Raw genomic sequence first — 21382 nt, 5'->3', positions numbered from 1 at the left:
TGGGTTTCGAACCATTAAAAACTTTTTTTTTTTTTTTTGAGACGGAGTCTCGCTCTGTCGCCCAGGCTGGAGTGCAGTGGCACGATCTCGGCTCACTGCAAGCTCCGCCTCCCAGGTTCATGCCGTTCTCCTGCTTCCCAGAGTAGCTGGGACTACAGGTGCCTGCCACCATGCCCAGCTAATTTTTTGTATTTTTAGTAGAGACGGGGTTTCACTGTGTTAGCCAGGATGGTCTCGATCTCCTGACCTTGTTATCCGCCTGCCTCAGCCTCCCAAAGTGCTGGGATTACAGGCGTGAGCCACTGCGCCCAGCCTCGAACCATTAAAAACTTCTAAGAATAAAAAATCCCAGAATTTAAAAAAATATACGTATGAAGATTCTAAATATAAAAATAAGTGCTGGGTGGGGCATTGGGAAACACCCTCACTGTTGGTAAATTGGTATAACCTAGCAATTCTATTTCGAGAAATAACATTCTAAAGAAATAACAGGTCAACAATAGGGGATTGTTTAAATAAATTATGGTACATCCAAATTACCAAATATACAGTCATTCAAACAATAATAATGTAAATGAAAAAAGGAAAATACAGACAGTGGTGTGCTGGTAAATGTTTTAACAACTGGCTCTCTGGGTCAAGGGAAGCCCTGATTTGCAGCATCTGCCTATTTCGATGGTCATTTTCAAGCAACCAGTGTGATATCACTGAAGGTGGAACTGCATCTTATGGGCCCGAGAGCCAGCTACAGCACACAACTAGGTGTAGACTGATGTGCCAAATATGATCACCATTTATGTTTCAAAATTATACAGTCATGTGTCACTTGACAACAGGGATATGTTCTGAGTGATGTGTTGTTAGGCAGTTTTGTCATTGCGCGAATATCAGAGTGTACTTAGACTAAACCTAGATGGTATAGCCCACTACACACCTAGGCTTTATGGTATAGCCTATTGCTCCTAGGCTACAAACTTGTACAGCAGGTTACTGTACTGAATAATGCAAACAATTGTATTACAATATTAAATATTTGGGTATCTATTTAAACATAGAAAGGGTAAAATAAAAATACAGCATTATAATCCTATGGGACCACCATAGTCGCATATGCGGTCTACGGTTGACTGAAACATTGTTATGTGGTGCATGGCTGTAATATCTATAATATTATTTATACATATATTAAATATGACTTTTGGTATGTTTTTTAATATACCAATATGCACTGTTCTGGCCATCTATGACTGTGTAAAAAGCTACACCAAAACTTAACGGCTTAAAGCAAGAATTTATTATCTCTCACAGTTCTGTGAATTGACTGGGCTCAGCTGGGTGATTCCCACTTGGGTTCTCACATGTAGCTGCAGTCAGATGATGGCTGGGGCTGGAATCATCTGGATGTTAGTCTGAGCTGGACATACATACAGGATGGCTTCTTCACTCAAATATCAGCTAGGATGGCTGGAAAAGACGGGAGCTGACTGAGAAGATCTCTCCCTCTCTCTGTGATTGGTCTTCTCAATCACCTTTCTCTCTTTCTGTTTCCCTCCCTTCATGAAACCTTTCTATACAGCTTAGGGCCAGCCTGGGCTTCCACACATCTTGTGGTCTCAAGATAGTCTGACTTCTTACTAGAGGCTGACCTCTCCCAAAGCAAGCATTCCAAGAGATCTTAGCAAAGTCTTGGGGTCATACAGAATCACTTTTGTTGCATTCTACTAATCAAAGGCAAGTCACAGTGCCAGCACAATTTGAGGAAAGGGACTACTCAAGAGCAAGAGATGTGGCTCCCTGGTTGGAGGCAGGGGGCTGCATCTCTCTGAAGAGTAGCTACCATAGTGGTTGCTACATATGGTTGGAATGTTTGTCCCCTCCATAACTCACAATGAAACTTAAACCTCAGTGGGGGAATATTGAGAGGTGGGGCCTTTAAGAGGTGTTGGGTCATGAGGGCTCTGCCTCATAAACTGATTAACGGGTTATCACAGGAAGAGGACTGGTGGCATTATAAAAGGAGGAAGAGGGACTGAACTAGTACACTGAGCCCTCTCGCTACGTAACGCCCTGCATCAACTCAGGACTCTGCAGTTCCCATCAGGAAGAAGACCCTCACCAGATGCGGCCCCTTCAACCTTGGACTTCTTAGCCTCCATAACTGTAAGAAATAAATTCCTTTTCTTTAAAAATTACCCAGTTTCAGGTATTCTGTTTCACTCAACAGAAAACAGACTAGACACATAGGGATCAAAAAGTATGGAAAAATGTAAATTGTGGTTATATTGATTTGCAGGGGTAAGGGGGCTTTTACTCTGAGTATGTTTTATCATTTTCTTCCCACATATTTTGGACTTTTTAAAAAGTGGAAAAGACTATACGTGCATAATCAAAATTGACAAAACATTTAACCAGGAAAACTTTTACTGTATTAATGGAATGCCAAAAGTTCATGAGATACAATGTAAATTTATATTATGATAGATATCAACAAATGTTCTACAAATGAATTGCTCTAAGAAATTATCAAAAATTATACTGATATTTAATATCTACAGTATATAGTGAATATCATAAATATGTAAAGTAAGCTATATAAATAAATCAATGATCAACTAGATAGAAAACACAATAAATTTCTAAATGAATCAATACCTAGGACTTATATTCTGCATACACAAACACATCCTTTCTTACATTTTCCAATATGTATTCTCCGATATGGCATACTACTACTTCTTAAAGGCAGATATTCATATCATATTAAGGAGGAACACATGAATGTAGCAGATAAAACAGGTTGAGAAGCTTAAAGTACTTAGAACTGTGTTTGACACCTAATAAATATTCAAAAATGTGTTTTAGGAGCACTACTATCCCAGAAGATATTAACAGGTAATCCATATTTTATCCGATTTTATTTTACCGCAGAGTATCATACTCTGCGGTAAAATAAAATTTGGGTATTATGAGCCTCCTCCCCACCCGGAGGGATTATACATTAATATATTCAAGGTTCTGAGAAGTCCTGAAGAACTGTTTATTTTTGTTTACCTCAGTGTTTTCTAAGCTGATAGATACATCTCCCCCACTGAAAATTAAGGAGTTGGAATAGGTAAATTCTAAGGTTTATTCTAATAGCCTATGAGCCTATTAAGCTGGAAAAACTTTACTGGGGAATTAGAGACTAGTTTTGCTACAAAAGTTATTTTCCTTTTCCATGATTAAAAAATCTATTATATTAGTTAAAATATACATGTTAACCATGACTGTATACATTTTTTTTTTTTTGGCTTACAAAAAGAGAAAATCTCATAAAAGTAGAGTGTGGGCCAGGCACGGTGACTCATGCCTGTAATCCCAGCACTTTGGGAGGCCAAGGCGAGCACATCACTTGAGGTCAGGAGTTCGAGATCAGCCTGGCCAACATGGCGAAACACCGTCTCTACCAAAAATACAATAATTAGCCAGGCGTGGTGGCAGGTGCCTGCAATCCCAGCTGCTCGGGAAGCTGAGGCAAGAGAACTGTTTGAACCTGGGAGGCAGAGGGTGCAGTGAGCCGAGACTGCGCCACTGCACTCCAGCATGGGTGACAGAGTGACACTCCATCTCAAAAAAAAAACAAAAACAAAAACAGTGGAGTGTGGCAAGGCAAAGAATGAGAGCTGGGAAGCAGACTTCAAATCACACTGGCTTATACTCAATAAATGGTGAGAAAACAAGGACTAACTGAAGAAAAATAATTATTTGTAAAGAGGTGACTTACGTAAGTAATACGATGAAGAGGATGAAGGCAAAGAACATAAAAATTAAAACTAAGAATTGTAATGAAAAAAGATAAAGAGAGCTAATCAGAGTTGATTGCAGAATTAGAACAATTGTGTGATGTGAAGACCACTGGCCTGAGCAACGTGACATAAGTCAAATCACTTTTTATAAAATAAGAGGCTTGAACTTCATGACTTCAAGGTTGTCTTCAATTCTAGATGACTGATCATCTAGAGTCTAAATCCTATCCTTAGAGATACATCCTATCCTACTCATCCCTTTGTTTACAGATGCAATCAAACTCTAGGGAAGTGAACTGATCTGCAAGGTCACACAGCTAATTAACTCAGTCACTTAAATACTGAGTGCTACCATGACCTTGTACAAAAGACATAACAGCAAATAGTCAGAAAATTCTCTGCCCTTGTTGAACTTACACTGTAGAGCAGGGTAAGGGTGCAGTGCTATCAATGTATAGGAACTAAAGAAATCTTACAATTTCAGGTAGCAATAAGAACTAAAACACAAGGTAGGGGATAGCGTGTGTGGGTGTGGTGTGGTAGTGGATGGGCAAGCTATTTTATTTTATTTATTTCATTTTTTGAGACCAAGTCTCACTCTGTTGTGCCCAGGCTGGAGTGCAGTGGCAGGATCTTGGCTCACTGCAACCTCTGCCTCCTGGGTTCAAGCGATTCTCCTACATCAGCCTCCCGAGTAGCTGGGATTACAGGCATGCGCCACTAGGCCCAGCTAATTTTTGTATTTTTAGTAGAGATGGGGTTTCACCATTTTGGTCAGGCTGGTCTCGAACTCCCTACCTCAGGTGATCCACCCACCTCAGCCTCCCAAAGTGCTAGGATTAAGGAGTGAGCCGCAGCGGCCGGCCAGCAAGCAATTTTAGATCAAAGTGGTCAGTAAAGGCTTCTTCAAGGACATGACATTTAAGTAGGGATTTAGGCAGAAGAAACAGCAATAACAATAATCCTGACAGAACAAGTTTGCTGTCTCTGAAGAACAATAACAAAGAGGCCAGCAAGGCTAAAAGTGAGCATGGATGGAAGAGAAATGGTAGGAGACGAAGTCAAAGAAGGAGGTAGGGGTCCAGTCATATATGGCACTGCAGGGAGTAGTTAAAAAAAAAAAAAAAAAAAGGATTTCATTCTAAGAGTAACAGGAAGCCACTGGAGGGTTTTGTACAAACCAGCAACATGATCTCGCTTATGTTTTTAAAACTTGCTCTGGCTACTGTGTTGAAAATAAACTAAAGAAACAAAAGTAGAAGCATGAAGTTGAATAGGAAGGCCATTGTGAATTACTGAATGGCTTGGACTAAGGTAGAGGTGGAGGTACTGAGAAGCTGAAGGATTGGATCTGAGATATGTGAGAAAGAGAGGGTCCAAAGATAGCTCCAAATCTGGATCTGAACAACTAGCGGATAATGATGCCATTTACTGAATGGAGCAGAACTGGGAACGCGATGCAGGAAGCAGATTTGAGAAAAATTCAGAGCTGTGTTTTAGACATACTAAGTTTGAAATGCTTTGTAGACTTTCAAAAGAAAGTGTCATGTAAATAGATATTTTGGAGCACAGAAACAAGGTTGGGCTGTATAGTCTGAAACATGGGACTGGATAAGATTATACAGAAAAAAGGGAGAAAGGAAAGAAAACAGAGAGCCTAGGAGAGAAACCCTATCTTCCAACTTCGATTCTTTAGCACCTTAAACTGCATTGTCTGTGTAAATTAGAAATATTGTTCACGTAACATAAATGCTTGAATAAGAGGGAAGGAGCGCTAAAAACAAAATCAGGAATAGCAACAATCAAAACCTCCAATTAGGCAAGAAGATTTGGAAGACAGCAGGGATGTAACACAGAACATTTTGCATTACAGGGTTCTGGTTAAAGCCAAAATTCCAGAAAAGACAAGTCAGCACTGCCCATGGCAGGGATACAGTGTGAAAGCAACTCAAATAACACCTGTTTTTTGAAGATGCCACAGGCAGAGTGTTGGAGCCAGAGGGCCAAGACACTGAGGAAGAAGAGCCAAGCTACTGCTATAAAGAAGGAGTGTCCCCTTATAAATGAAGAACAAAGAAGAAGGAGAATACATTATTATCTACTTATAAATCACACAGAGACACAAAAATAGTGAGGTAGTTAGTACGTAAAACAGGCCATATACTAGCTAGAAAGGCAAAGCCTACTAAAGAAAAATATTTGAATAAAGGAAATGGGATACAGTGTTTAGTTTTTATTTTTAAAAAGCCCTATAATAAACTGAATTTTATTTATTTATTGAAAGGGGCTCACTCTGTCGCCCAGGCTGGAGTGCAGTGGTGCAATTCTCGGCTCACTGCAACCTCCACCTCCCAGGTTCAAAGGATTCTCCTGCCTCAGCCTCCTGAGTATCTGGGATTACAGGCACCCGCCACCACGCCCAGCTAATTTTTGTATTTTTAGTAGACACAAGGTTTCACCATGTTGGCCAGACTGGTCTCAAACTCCTGACCTCAAGTAATCAACCTGTCTTGGCCTCCCAAAGTGCTAGGATTACAGGTGTAAGCCACCACACTTGGCTATAGAATTTTTAAAGAAAAAACTCACAAAATATTTCAGTTCCTTGCATAATTAAAATGGACAAATAAGAAAACTGTCAAGTATTCTTTTTAAGTGTTCCTGAAAACGTTATATTCCTATTGATGTTATATCACATTTGCAATTGGAAAAAACTTACCTGATGTATCCCAGCACTTTGGGAGGCCGAGGCCAGTGGATCACCTGAGGTCAGGAGTTCAAGGCCAACCTGACCAATATGGTGAAACCCTGTCTCTAAAAATACAAAAATTAGCCTGGTGTGGTGGTGGGCGCCTGTAATCCCAGCTACTCGGAAGGCTGAGACATGAGAATAGCTTGAACCCAGGAGGCGGAGGTTGCAGTGAGCCGAGATCGTGCCATTGCACTCCAGCCTGGGTAACAGAGCGAGACTCTGTCTCAGAAAAAACAAAACTTACCTGATGTATTTCTTTGATCTACCTGGAGAATACCTGGCAAAAAAGGGAGACATCAGCATCTACTTGCTGTAAGCCCTGGGTCTTGAGGACTGTCCCTGTTCTACAACAGCCTGGCTAGCTATAAATAGCCTACATTCACTATCTTCTGAATCACTGATCTCCACTAACACTGCTTGGATTTAATCTACAGAGTTGCAATAACTCCTTTCAACCACCATATAAAAACCATTTACCTGCGTTTTGATTTTTCTATTTAGATACACAATCCACCAAAGACCCCAGGGCTTAAATTATTTTTAATTAAATAGAAAAAAAACTACTCATGCTAAGGGTGAAATACCCTGCAAAAAAAGAACACTTGAGGTATTTTTTTTTAATTATTGTGATGGCCTAAATTCAATACTTGTTTTTGAGACCTTAGCTTTGAATCAGGTTGGCAGAGTCCTTGGCTTCTTTCCCTATCAAGAGGAATCTATACTTTACTAATAGAAGTACATATTGCATTGGGTTTGCTTTTATTTTTTTAAATAAATTCATTGCAAAATATTGACTTATATCAAGCCTATGGTCACCTAAAGCCCACATAAAAATGAACTATTCATCAGGTTCATACAGAGTCTGTCATACAACTGGTAAGTGACAACAGTTCCTGAATGGAGGTCTTCTGATTCCCACTTTTGCGTACTTTTTAACTACACTACACTGCTTAGCAACCTTTACTGTTATTATGCTTTGAAAAGTCACCCACTTGTCCTATCAAATATAACGGCTTATTATGTTATAGTAATTAAGACAATGTAGCACTGGGACAGAAAAATAGACCCTCAACTAGGACAGCAAAACAAATTTCACATATGGGAACTTGATATATGACTAAGGCAGTATTATAGATCAGTGGAGAAAAGATGAACTAGTCAATAAATGGTGCATGCAACCTAGATTCCTCACATGCACAGCTCACAACAGGGTTCGCGCTCCTATGAGAATCTAATGCTGCTGCTTACCTGTCAGGAGGCTCAGGCAGTAATGCAAGCGATGGGAAGTAAATACAGATGAAGCTTTGCTGGCTCACCCACCACTCACTTCCTGCTGTGTGGACCTATACTGGTCCATCGCTCGGGGGTAGGGGATCCCTGATATAGGGTATAACTATCATATTCCTGAAGGTATCTTTATTTTTACTAGGTTTCTCCGTATTTTTTTAAGAGACGAGAGAGTAAGAACTAAAAACTGTTCTTTAGTCACAGAACCATCTGATTTCCATGTTTATTTTCTCTTACTAGGCTATGAACTGTAGGGCAGAGGCTGTATTTTATTCACAGTTGCTTCTCCAGCAACTATCAATATGCCAAAATATATTATATATATATAAAATATATAACATATATAACAAATGGTTTTGCATTAATGAATGAATTTTATAAAAGGGGAAAAACAAGTTGTGGTTTATGGGAGAATAGTTTCTAGATTCATTTAATATTAGACCTGAGAAAAAACCCCTACAGATTATTCAATCCAATCCCCTAAAATTTTAGAGATGAAGAAAGTATAAACTTAGTGACTAGCCTAAAGACACAAAACTAGTTAGAGATATAGCCAGAACTATATGATGTCTCTCCAAATACTCAGACCTGTGTTTTTTGCATATGAAGAGGTGTAAAATGATGTTAAGTCTGTAGGCTTTGGAATCAGTTCACATCCCAGCTCTGTAACTTACTGTATGACTTGGGATAAACTGTATAAATATATGAGACTCAAGTTTTCTCATTTGTAAAACTGAGTACAATATAACTTACTGGGCTAATGTGAGGATTAAATGAGATGATGTGTGTAAATTGTTGAGCATAGGACATGACACACAGCATATAACTTAAAAAACTAGAAGCAACTATGATTATTAAACTATGTTGCTTCTACTCTACTATTCTCATAAAATACTAAAATTATTTCCTTAAATTGGTATGGTAATGCCTTCAAAGATTACTGGAAATACGTCTTATTTACATGTGTTTATTATAGTGATAGGTTAGAATTCATTTTTATTTATTTATTATAGTGATAACAGTACTAGATTATATTGAATTATTATTATTATTATTATTATTATTTTGGAGACAAGAGTTTCACTCTTGTCGCCCAGGCTGGAGTGCAGTGGCGCAATCTTGGCTCACTGAAACCTCTGCCTCCCGGGTTCAAGTGATTCTCCTGCCTCAGCCTCCTAGGTAGCTGGGATTACAGGCGCCCGCCACCACGCCCAGCTAATTTTTGTATTTTTAGTAGAGTCGGGGTTTCACCATATTGGTCAGGCTAGTCTTGAACTCCTGACCTCAGGTGATCTGCCGACCTCGGCCTCCCAAAGTGCTGGGATCGCAGGCGTGAGCCACCACGCCTGGCCTATATTAAATATGTTTAATACTATTATGCAGTAGAGTAAAAGGCTGAATCCTCAAAAGTAGAAATGAGAATGCAACAGTGACAATTTATATGGGACAGAAAAATGTCATAGGTCACCAACCACTGTTATAAAAGAATGATCAAAGATGACATAGAATAATACTTGTCAACAAACTACAGCCTGAAGGCCAAATCTGTCGCAATGCCTGTTTCTACAAATAAAGCTTTATTGGAATACTTCCTTCCATTTGCTGACTTACTGTCTATGGCTGCTTTTGTACCATAGCAGCAAAGCTGAGTAGTTGTACCATAGCAGCAAAGCTGAGTAGCTGCAGCAAAAACTAATGGCCAGCAATGTCTAAAATATTTATTATCTGATCTTTTACAGTTTGCCATGCCCTACTGTAGATAATGGCAAGTACATTGAATTTTCTCCTAAAAATGTATAAACTATTTGCATATCAGGTATTTCTGCAGTGGAGACTTAAACTGAACACACAACTTAGGTTATTCTGTTTAACAGAGGCCAGAATAATAACTTGTATATTTTATCATATTTATCCAAAAGTGTCATTTGACAGTATTTTACAACCAGGACATAACAGTATTACAGTTTCTATAAATTTCTATAATAGTCTATGTTTCCTTCATGTCGTATTCTGTAATATTTTCTGGCAAAACAAGAGATATAGAATATTTTTTCAGGGAATTCTCATTCTTTTCCTCTATTACAGAAACTAAATAATTTTGAGGTTTGGCCCTAGGAAGTCATAGGTAGGCAGGATATTTACCAATTTAAAGATTAGTAGAAAAACAAAAAAAAGGTTAGTAGTACTACATATTTATACAAAAGAATTACTCATTGTCTAATGTTGGCAGCGTAAAACATACCCATTTCCCTCATGGTCCTTTCATAAACAATTCTGATTCCTTTTGGAACTGCCTGGTAAAGGGAAAGACTCATCAGAAAATGAAGCTAAAATCATAACAAATTAGATTTAATGTTATTCTGCTATTTTTGTATTTTTCTGAATCAAGACTAGATAAAACAACAGATGGGATGCCTTGTGTGCTCAGAAGAACAGAAATAATATTTTTTGTTTGTTTTCTATAAAAATAATTTTTTTTTGAGACAGGGTCTCCCTGTCGCCCAGGCTGGAATGCAGTGATACAAACTTGGCTCACTGCAACCTCCACCTCTTGGGTTCAAGCAATTCTCCTGCCTCAGCCTCCTGAGTAGCTGGGATTATAGGCGTGTGCCACCACAGCCCGGCTAATTTTTGTATTTTTAGTACAGATAGGCTTTCACCACATTGGTCAGGCTGGTCTGGAACTCCCAACCTCAGGTGATCCACCCTCCTTGGCCTCCCAAAGTGCTGGGATTACAGGCATGAGCCACTGCGCCCGGACTATAAAAATAATTTTTAAAGAATTCTACAAATGGCTGTAATGTGAATTTGACAGTCTTGGCTAAGCTGCCTGTACTATGGTAACACATTTCTGTTACCGAAATAAATGTTCTATTGTCAAAATTCCTTGGGACATACTGCATTAAATTAGATGGATGAAAGAGATGAAAAAAATGAAGGGGCATTTTAGGAAAGGAAGGAAACATGTGCTTTTCAAAATCGATGTTTAAAAGAAAAAAATGACTCTAGTACAGAGTATAGGATAATCCTTTGTAAAGCCTCAAGAATTATGTACTTGTAATAACAGGAGTTAATATCGAAATTTTACTTTGTGCAAAGCACTCCGGTAAGAGGTTTATATTTCTCATTTAATCTTCATTGCCACCCATGAGGTAGATATTACTGTATTTAACATATTATTTTCTGCATTTTACATGAAGGAATGGTAGCAACAAGTCATAAACCCAGCCTGTCTGATTTTAAAGCCCACATTTTTAACGAATATTATGCTAAATTCAAAATCTTTTCTAGAAATATCAAGAATCTTTGAAAACTGTAACTTTCACAGGATACTCTGAAACTCTTAGAAGGCACTAAAAATAGAGGAAATTATTATTAGACCAAAAAAACCCAAATATCTGTAAAATTACTGATCTGTTATTTTAAAATACACAATATAAAAAAGTATTCTAGAAATAAACCAGTTTTTAAATTGTGAAATATTACTCTGACTACTCAGACTATATTTCATAATTAATTCAGAATTTAGGCATTCAATACTACTTTTCAAGTATTATTTAATAAACATTAAAAATGAGTGTTCTTGCTAAAAATGGTTGGTATAGTATTTTAAAATCTAGGTAGTGACATCAAAAACAAAGAGAGGCTGAAAGACTGTCATAGCCAAGAGGAGGCCAAGGAGACATGACTACTACATGTCATCTCCTGGATGGGATCTTAGAACAGAAATAGGACATTAGATAAAAACTAAGGAAATCTGAATAAAGTATGAACTTTAGTTAATAATAATGTATCACTATTGGTTAGCCAATTATAACAGATGTACCATAGTGATATAAGATATTAATAACAGGGAAAACTGGTACAAGGCATATGGGAACTCACTGTGTTATCATCACAATTTTTCTGTCAATCTAAAACTGTGCTAAAACCTACAATTTTATTTAGAAAACAGAAAAAAAAAGCCAGTGAAACTGTTTTCAGCGAGAACACTCATTTTAAAATACTTTACACCCAGCCAATTTTTCTTCAAATTATGAATTTACATTCATGCAATTTGCACTAAACCCAATTGGTATTTTGAAAAAACATGATAAAAAATTCAGGAACTAATTTTTTCAGATATTTGAAAGTTTCTGTAATGTGAGAGATAACTGTTAAGCAACCTTATTGGTTTTTAAGCAAATATATTCAAATATTTTCTCTAAGTCACCTGAGGAGACTGCTCCATCATTGCTTAAAACATTTAAAAAACTTCTTATTAGGAATTATCATCAGCGCCTACTAAGTGTTCTATAAGGCACACTCAATAACAGCAGATCTTTATTCAAGTATGTGTGGTTATTACTTCAATATAAAAATTTCACATCACTGGTGCTTAATTCAGAAGTCTGTATAAGATTCCTCTAAAAATAAATTCTGAACAAAAACAAATATTAATATCCTAATATCTGAATATTAAAATCAAAGTAGGGCAAATTATTGTATAATTCCATTTATATGAGATATCTAGAATTAAATTAATAGAGACAAAGTAGAATGGTAGTTGACAGGGGATGTGGGGAAGAAGAATGGGGAGTTATTGTTTAATGGGTACAGAGTCTCACTGATTGATTGATTGATTGATTTTTATTGAGATAGGGTCTCGCTCTGTCACCTAGGCTGGAGTGCAGTGGTGCAATCACAGCTCTCTGAAGCCTTGACCTCTTGGGCTCAAACCATTCTCCTGCCTCAGCCTCCCGAGTAGCTAGGACTACAGGCACATGCCAACATGCCTGGCTAATTTTTACATTTTTTGTAGAAATGGGGTCTTACCATATTGCTAAGTCATCTCAGTTTGAAAAGATGAAAAAGTTACTGGAAATGGATGGAGGTGATGGTTGCACAATGTGAATTTACTTAATGTCACAGAACTGTACACTTAAAAATGGTTAAAATGAGAACGTATACATAATGTGTGTGTGCGTCTATAAAACTACAATTAAAAAAACAGGTCGCTGGTCTTCTAGTTTATCTGTAGGCTACAGTTCAGATGGGCTATAGTTTGCTGATCCTTAAGCTAATGTAACTATGTAAGACACATTACTTCTTTCTGCTTTAAATGCTTTTGAATGGCAGGAATGAAGCCATACTATCTATTTGAAAAGGTTGTTGTGGATATCAGCAATCACAGATTTTACCCACAATGAAGTCTATACAAATAAGAGTTCATGTTTATAGTACTTTATCTTTTTTGAACAGGCCAGGTTTAACTCAACATCTATTTATGGAAGCAAGATTGGAAAGCACAAGAATCACAAAGGAATTCATGGGACTCACATATAGAATAAAACTTTAGCCACACCAGCACTATCTTCCAGAACAGTCTCTGAATTATTATGCTAAAGAGAAAGGAAATCCTAGAAAAAAAAATACACGTTGGAGGGAATTTTTAAAACGTATCCAAGTGTTACTAACCCATGAGATGTTAGGGTAAAAAACATCCCTTTCCATCAGCTTTGTGAGGGGACCTTTCTGTGAAGAACAAAAACCCAGGGATACCCAAACTTCAATAAATAAAGGTTCTCAAACAAAACAAAACAAAACAAAACAAAACAAAACAAAACAAACATAAAGTTACTTAAAGTTAAGTTCAGAAGACAGAATGAGTGTGAATGACCAACCTGGTTAATAATGGTCTTTTGGTTAAATTTAAAGTAACTATTAAATGTATTTTTAAGATACATTTTAAAACATTGACAATAAATGAGTTAAGCTTTCAATTCAAGAATCTAGAAAAACAAAGTAATTCTAAAGAAAGCAGTAGGGATGAAATAAGACAAGAAATAATTGAATTAAAAAGATAATCTTTGGTGGGAGCAGTGGCTCAGGCCTGTTATCCCAGTGCTTTGGGAGGCTGAAGAGGGAGGATCCCTGAGGCCAGGAGTTTGAGACCTGCCTGGACAGCTAACAAGACCCCATCTCTACTAAAAGAAAAAAAAAAGAAAAATCCTTTAACAAGATTGATCATGGGGGGAAAAAAAGAACATATTTATTAGGAGCAAAAACTCAAATGGTAAAAACATTTTAAAAATGAACAAATTTATGCTAATGTATTTAAAAAGTTAGATGAAATGTTCCAGAAAAATATAAATGACAAAAAATGCCTCAAGAAGAAATAAAAGACCTGAATAAAACCATTAGTATTGAAGAGATTAAATGGTAACTTACAAAAATCTACTTTCTTAACCAACTTCTTTCCTTTTACTTCAAAGATATGAGGACAGAGTTTTACAGGAGGATGTGCAAATCCTTTCCAAGAGTAGGCAGCTCTTACATGAAATATAGAAATTGGAAAGCAAGTGAGACAAATTTGTCCCTATTTGCAAACAACATGATTTCTAGAAAGAATATCTAAGAGAATCCATACACAATCAGAACTAATAGGAGTTCAACAAGGATGTTTGATATAAAACCAATACACAAAATAAATCAGGCCAGGCACAGTAGCTCACACCTATAATCCCAGTCTTTAGAAAGCCAAGGTGGAAGGATCACTTAAGACCAGGCTGGGCAACACAGGGAGACCCCATCTCTACAAAAAAAAAAAAAGTTAGCCAAGCATGGTAGCACATGCCTGTAAGCCCCACCTACTTGGGGGGATGAGGCAGGAGGATCACTCGAGCCTGGGAGTTCATGGTTACAGAGAACTATGACTGCCACTGCATTCCAACCTAGGCAACAGAGCGAGACTTTGTCACAATAAATAAATTAAAAATTTTTTAAATGGCATGCCTGTACACCATCAATAACCAATTTAATGAATAAAAATGTAAATAAGCTATTAAAACTCAGTATTGCAAAAATGGCAATGTTCCCCAGATTCATTTACAAATCAAAAACAATTTCAATGAAAATCCTGACAGTGTTTTTCATGGAAAATTGATTTTAAAATTCATACAGAAGAGCAAAGTACCAAGAATAGCTAAAATAGTTTTGAAGAAGAAGAACAAGGTAAAGAAGATGTGGAGTTGACACATGGTTATACAAATGAGAGAGCCTAAAAATGAAACTTGTGCATGACAGAGGTTGCATTACAATTGAAATAGATGAACTATTTGATAAATGATGCAGAAAGCACATGTCTTATCCATATGGAAAAATAAAATTGTGTTCCTTACAACATTCACAAAAATAAATTTTATGGGATTAGAGATATGAATCAAAAAAGCAAATTGTAGAAACTGCTAGAAAAAATACAGCAGGCCATTTTAATGACTTTAATGGCAGGGAAGGATTACCTTAAAACACAAAAGACTAAGAAAGCACAAATAAAGTGAAAAGACAAGCCACAAAGCAGAAAATATCTGTAACGCAAATGACTGACAAAGAAAACCAATAATATTTAAACAGTAAAAAGCAAATAACCTAACAGAGCAATGGACAAAGATAACAAATAGGTAAATCACAGAGAAACCCCAAATGGCCAATAAACATACGAAAACACATTCAACCTTACGTATAATAAGGAAAAGGTAAATTACTACAGAATTGAGATATTATTTCAAAGTCTGGCAAAAATTTAGAAGCCTGAGAGTGCCAAAATGGGGACAAAGGGGAAACTCATATTCTGGTGTGCGTATAAATTAAAATAACGACTTAAGTTGAACATGCTTATAGCCTACAATGCAAAAATTCCAATAGAAACTCTTGTTCATATTTAAGAAATGAAAGTGTTACAAGAATATTCACTGAAAAATGGCTTACAACAAAAAATTAGAAACAACTATATAATTCATCAATAAATGAGTGAATAAATTGCAGTATAGTTATACAATAGCATACTCCACTGCAGTTAAAACAAATTATCAGTACACATATCAACATATATATTCTCAAAAACATAAAACTGAGTTAAAAAATGAGCTACAGAATGATCTCACATATATACATTTTTAAAACTTGCATAACAGCAAATTTTATGGATAAACACTCAGCGACAGTATAAAAATATTCAGGAGAATGAAAAATACCGTATTTATGAGAAGGGTTTCTCTAGGGAGGGAGGAAGAAGAGGAATGGAAATATGGAAAGGAACAGAGGAGGTATCAACTGTATCTTTAATATTAGATACATAGGTACACAAACAGATACAGATACATATGCCATAATTTCAAGATTTCAAGGTAGTTGGGTTGTGAGTACATGGATATTTATTTTCTATATCTCTATATATTTGAAATATGTTATACATTTCCTTTATATTAGTAAAAGGAAACATTTTAAAAAATAGAGTTGCAGTATTAAAATAAATGCAACTCAAAAACAAAATGTTGAGTTAAAGAATTTAGTCAAAGAAATACATGTATGTGTGATATAGTTTATGTACTGGGTAAAACAAACATTTTTTTATAACTACGTATGTATTGGTAATTGTACAGGCTTTTATGGGAATGAACAAGTCCAAATTCACGATGATGGTTGTCTCTGGGGAGTGAATAAGAGGAACAGGATTAGGGAAGGGTACACAGGAAGTTTCAGCTAAATCTATGACTTCTTTAAAAAGTCTGAAGCAAATATTGCATTTGCTAAAGCTTAGTACTAGGGGCTTTTAAAAAACGTATCTATATGTAAATAATGGTAGCAACAACAATAATAGACAATACAGAGCCAACATTTTGAGCACTTATTATGTAGTAGCCACACTGCTCCCATCCAAGTACTAACCAGGCCCGACCCTGCTTAGCTTCCGAGATCAGAAGACATCGGGAGCATTCAGGGTGGTGTGACCATAGACTAGCAGCCACACTTCTAAGTATTTACATGCATAATCCTAAAAACAACCCTAGGAGGTAGATTCATTACTATCCTCATACTATGAGGAACTGAAGCAGAGGGAGGTGAAGTTCATCCAAGGTTACAAAGTTAAGTAATTAATGAAAGTAAGAAAAGAAGCTAGGACTCCTACTCCAGCTTACAGTTTAATACCTATGTTATTACCATCATTTGTTATTCATTTCCGTATGTTGAAAATATTTCTCAGAAAACACTATTAATCCCCCCCAACACACACACACACACACACACACACACACACACACACACACACACACACACAGATATATTTCAGTGTAGCTCAAACTGGTTCTAAAGATGCTAAAAGAATTCTAGGTATGTCATGAAAAAAGCAGCATCTCAACTACTCTACTGATTTACATGTTTGAGGTCTGGTATTTTTTAAGACCATTATTTCATGGTCAAACATTATTTCTTCAATAGCCCTAAAATAATAATTTAGAATCCTAGAAACTGACATGGGGAAGCATAAAATATAACTCAACATCTCTCTCTCAGAGGGAAAACTGGATTATTTACCTTTAGGTCTGAAAACTCATAATAAGAGTTTTTAGTAAGCAGTTCTGGCAAGAAATTGAATGGAATTTCAATTATTCATTTTTTCCTAGTCTCTAAGTTATGAGTTGGTTTATTTTTTAAAAAGTCAGTAGCTAATATAATGATAAAATATCATTTGTATAGGACTATTTATACCAAAATAAAAGGGAAATTGGCATTCTCAGTGATCAAAAATGTATCAGCATTTATTATGTGCTAACCCCATACTCTCTGTAGCAGTAACCATTTCTTAAATGTACATTTCTGTTACCATGTCTTAAAAATGTCCCCTCTTCTCAAGCAATATACCCACAATATCATTACTATCATCTACAGAATGTCTTTAAAAAACAAAAAAGTTCTTCTTGCGAAGAGTTCAGAGTATAGTAATAGGGGAAACAGACTAGTAAACAAAAGTTATCTGTAATCCTTAAGTACGTCAATAAAGGTATTTAAAAGTATTAGAGTAACAAAGGTTGGAGGAGATGGAAAGGTGGCTGGTGCACTTTTATAAGAGGAAATCTGGAAAATGATGAACAGGAGACACCACATTAGAGTACTCTTTTAAGAAAACTTGTTTTAAAAGAAAGAAGAGAGGCTGGCATGGTGACTAACGCCTGTTAATACCAGCATCTGGGGAGGTCCAGGAGGGAAGATCACTTGAGGGCAGGAGTTCGAGACTAGCCTGGGCAACAAGTGAAACCCCATCTCTTAAAAAAATGAAATAAAAAATTAGCTGGGCATGGTGGTGTACACCTGTAGTCCTAGCTAATTGGGAGGCTGAGGCAGGAGGATTGCTTGAGCTCTTGGAGTTTGAAGCTGCAGTGAGCTATGATCATGCCACTGCATTCTAGTAAGACTCTGTTTCTAAATAATAATCATAAATACATAAAAGAAGGTAGGGTAATAGTAGGAACACAGATTCTAGAAGTACTAAAGATAAGAAATACTTAGCATTAACTCCTCTGATCTATTTTCCTTGACTACATTTATCTAAGACTAAATCCCAGCTGTTCATTTACTACTCAAGAACAAGTCACTTAACATTTCAAAGCTTCAAATAAGGTACTAGATGTTTAAGAACTCTAAATTACAGAGGGAATCTGAATAAATGATCTCTAAAGTTCTTTCTAGATTTAAAATTCCATAATTCTAAGACTACCAGAGGCTCTGAACTCTTTAAACTGAAAAAGAAATCACAAAATATTCAGTATGCAAAGAAGAAAAATCAAGATCATTGAGTTTTTATACTTGCATCTTGTTACTTTTGCAAAACTGTTATTAATAAAACAATTTCTAACCTGAGCATCAGTAAAATTCCCATAAAAAGCAAATTTTTATAAACGTTGGTAAAGTGCTTCTCCCCCACGAAACTGCACACTTCTGGAAAAAAAAAAAATCACCAACAGACGTACACTGCTTAAAAGCCCATAGTGTAGACTTGTTAAGTCATCTTTTAAAATGAAGATGTCTATCAAATATGTGTATTACATATTTACTACAACATATTTGTCATCTCATCCTTAAAATGTTAATGTACAAGTTGAAGGTTCATGACATTTCAAAAAACAGCTGATATTAACTCATTATAGTAATATGCTTTTGTTTCATTATCATATATTCTGAAATTTGTAACAAGGTTTCCCTTACCTGATATGGACATGGAATGTGATATTCTCTGCAGCGTTCTTGTATCCACGTTGTTTCCCAGATGCCCCGGTAAGCTTGCTCATAAAAGTAGCATCCAATTACAACCAAGAGTGGTACGAGATAAAGAATGCTGAAAACACCGATCCGGATCATAAACTTCACTAATTTATCTTGGTTCTCCTTTTCTAATGGAATCTCAATTCGAACTCTGTTTAGGGATATAATGCCAGCTAAGAGGAGAGAAACCCCAACTACCACATACAGGCAGAGGGGAGCAAGAACAAAATATCTCAATGCATCAACATCGTAGAGGCCAACAAAACACACGCCACTAATATTGTCACCTTCAATTTTATTCATCGCTAAAAGGATGATGGTTAGAGTTCCGGGGATGCCCCATGCACTGGCGTGAAACAGCAATGCTTTCTTCTCAATAGCTTCACTACCCCACTTTGGCACAGCTGCTAAAAACCATGTGATGGTAAGAATTACCCACCATACACTGCCAGCCATAGTAAAAAAATAGAGTATCATAAAAAGCATGGTACAGGCTTTATTATGAGATCCTTGTGTCACTGTGGAAGCCTTATATTGTGCAGGGATGGATGCATTGCAGGCTACTCGATCTTCAAGCAAAAATCCAATGAAGAAAATTAAGGATACCATCATGTAGCAGACTGCATAAAATATAATAGGCCTTTCAGGATAACGGAATCTTGTGACATCAATCAAAAAAGTTAAAAAAGTAAACAATGTGGCCGAGAGGCAAATGATTGAAATCAATCCTATGAAATAGCGAGCAAATGACAGTTCTTCTCTTCTGAAGTACATATTTGGACAAGGAGGTGAACAATCACGCACATGCAGAAAAGAATAACCCAGATCAGGATCAATTTTTAACTCTCGGGGACACCAAAAACCATAGTCTCTCTGCACTGCCACTGGGGCTCCTTCAGTTGGTTCTCCAGCTAAATTCAGATCCACAAGTCGAGGATATGGCTCATCACAATCTGGGAACCTAAAAAACAAAACAAGATGAGAACTATTTTTACTTATGGGGAAATCTATCACGATCTAACAGTTTGGATTTCCAAATCTGGCACTCACAACCTTATTTATTCCTGGAGAGCAAATGTAATATGTAGAAATAAAGTAAATGGTGATATCTTGTTTGTGGTCCATACAACTAGATTTTCGACAGTTGAGCAAAAAATACTAGTTGTATGTCTTGAAAAAGTATGATAGCCTCGAGACAAAGAAAACAAGGTTGTGTTGCAGACATTTATGCAACTAAGGAGACCGTTGTCATGAATTCCCTTCATCTTTAATTTTTTTGCCAATATCTGTTTCTAAGACTTCAGACTCCCAGTAACTAGCTGTTTACTGTTTTATATGCATCAAATAGTTTCTAAGAAACTATCATTAAGTTTGCCAAACACATACATAACTTTATGCTGTAGCTGATTTGTATCTTCAAATCTTTCAAATTTTCTAATACAAACCATTTTCTTCACAGAGAATTATAAAGCCAAATGACAGAATGTATTGCAATCAAGTATTTACTGGAACCCTGAATATGCCAGGAGTTAAAAAGATAAAAATACAGATCTCTATCCTTGAATCCAGAAGGAGACACATACTTATAAACACAACATACACAAAATATAGCAGTGTGACACTCTGCTAGCAATTAAAATCTATATAAGGTACAAAAATGATAATGATAAAGACAGAGATTAGTTACATAAGGGGAAGGAACTATGAAAGACTTCACAGTCCCCCAATACAGGATTTTAAATCAGTATTAGCAGTAAGCCAATCAGCATTCTAGTAAGCAAATATAAGCATAGGCATAGATGTTTGAACAGGGTGTGTTATTGCTGGAATATAAAGTATGCATGACTTGTGGCAGGAGATGAGACTGGAGAGGTAAGCACGTTGCAGAAATGTGTGTGTGAGTGTGTGTGTGTGTATAAACATTAACATAAAATTTAAAACCATGCAAACACTACAATTTTCCCATGTTACCCAATACTAATATATCTATGGATATATTTGTATATCTAACTGCCAACTCAACATATACACTTAGGTATCTAATAGGCACCTCAATCTTCAACCCTTCTGAAAGCAAATTCTTGACTTCCACTCCTCAGGTTTCTCCATCTCCATAAATGGTTATTCTATACTTCTAGCTGCTCAGGCCAAAAACCTTGGGGTTATCCTTGATGTCCCTTATCTTTCATATACCTATGAAATCTACCAGCATTTCCTGTGATTCTACTTTGTAATATATCAAGAAACCGAACTCTTCTCATTTCCTCCCCTGCTGGTGCCCAGTCTGAGCCATAAATATTTCTTCCCTGGACTTCTAGAGGGGCCTCCAATTGATCTCCATTTCCACACAGCAGCCAAGGTAATCCTTTAAAGATATGCTGCTCCTGTGTTCACGATCATGCCTCTTCTGCTTAAAACCCTCTAATGGCTTCTCATCTCAGAGTCAAATCCAAATTCCTTACCAGAGCTACTCAGACCCTCA

At 36.6% G+C, this 21382-nt stretch overlaps 1 protein-coding gene and 1 pseudogene across 31 annotated transcripts in view; both read right to left on the bottom strand.

The window, feature by feature from the left end:
• The window catches only part of FZD3 (frizzled class receptor 3), an 80047-nt gene that overhangs the window by 27251 nt on the left and 31414 nt on the right, over positions 1 to 21382 (bottom strand). For 21 of the 31 annotated variants that reach the window (NR_182069.1, NR_182070.1, NR_182068.1 and 18 more), the window contains one exon: positions 18844 to 19861. The exons of 1 other annotated variant lie outside the window; for it this stretch is intronic. Coding sequence is in view for 22 of the 30 variants with exons in the window: in NM_001412925.1 (NP_001399854.1) it covers positions 18844 to 19861 (1018 nt within the window). In the remaining 8 variants the exon portion in view is untranslated. Of the gene's footprint in view, positions 1 to 1358; positions 1465 to 6746; positions 6812 to 10063; positions 10116 to 18843; positions 19862 to 21382 lie in introns of those variants that run through there. 9 more of the 31 variants (NR_182067.1, NR_182066.1, XM_047422238.1 and 6 more) reach the window with 6 other exon arrangements.
• On the bottom strand, positions 16489 to 16597 carry RNA5SP259 (RNA, 5S ribosomal pseudogene 259; annotated as a pseudogene).

This window comes from Homo sapiens, chromosome 8, assembly GCF_000001405.40.
Source record: "Homo sapiens chromosome 8, GRCh38.p14 Primary Assembly".
Taxonomy (NCBI): Eukaryota; Metazoa; Chordata; class Mammalia; order Primates; family Hominidae; genus Homo; species Homo sapiens.
This window is presented reverse-complemented; position numbering and strand designations above follow the sequence as displayed.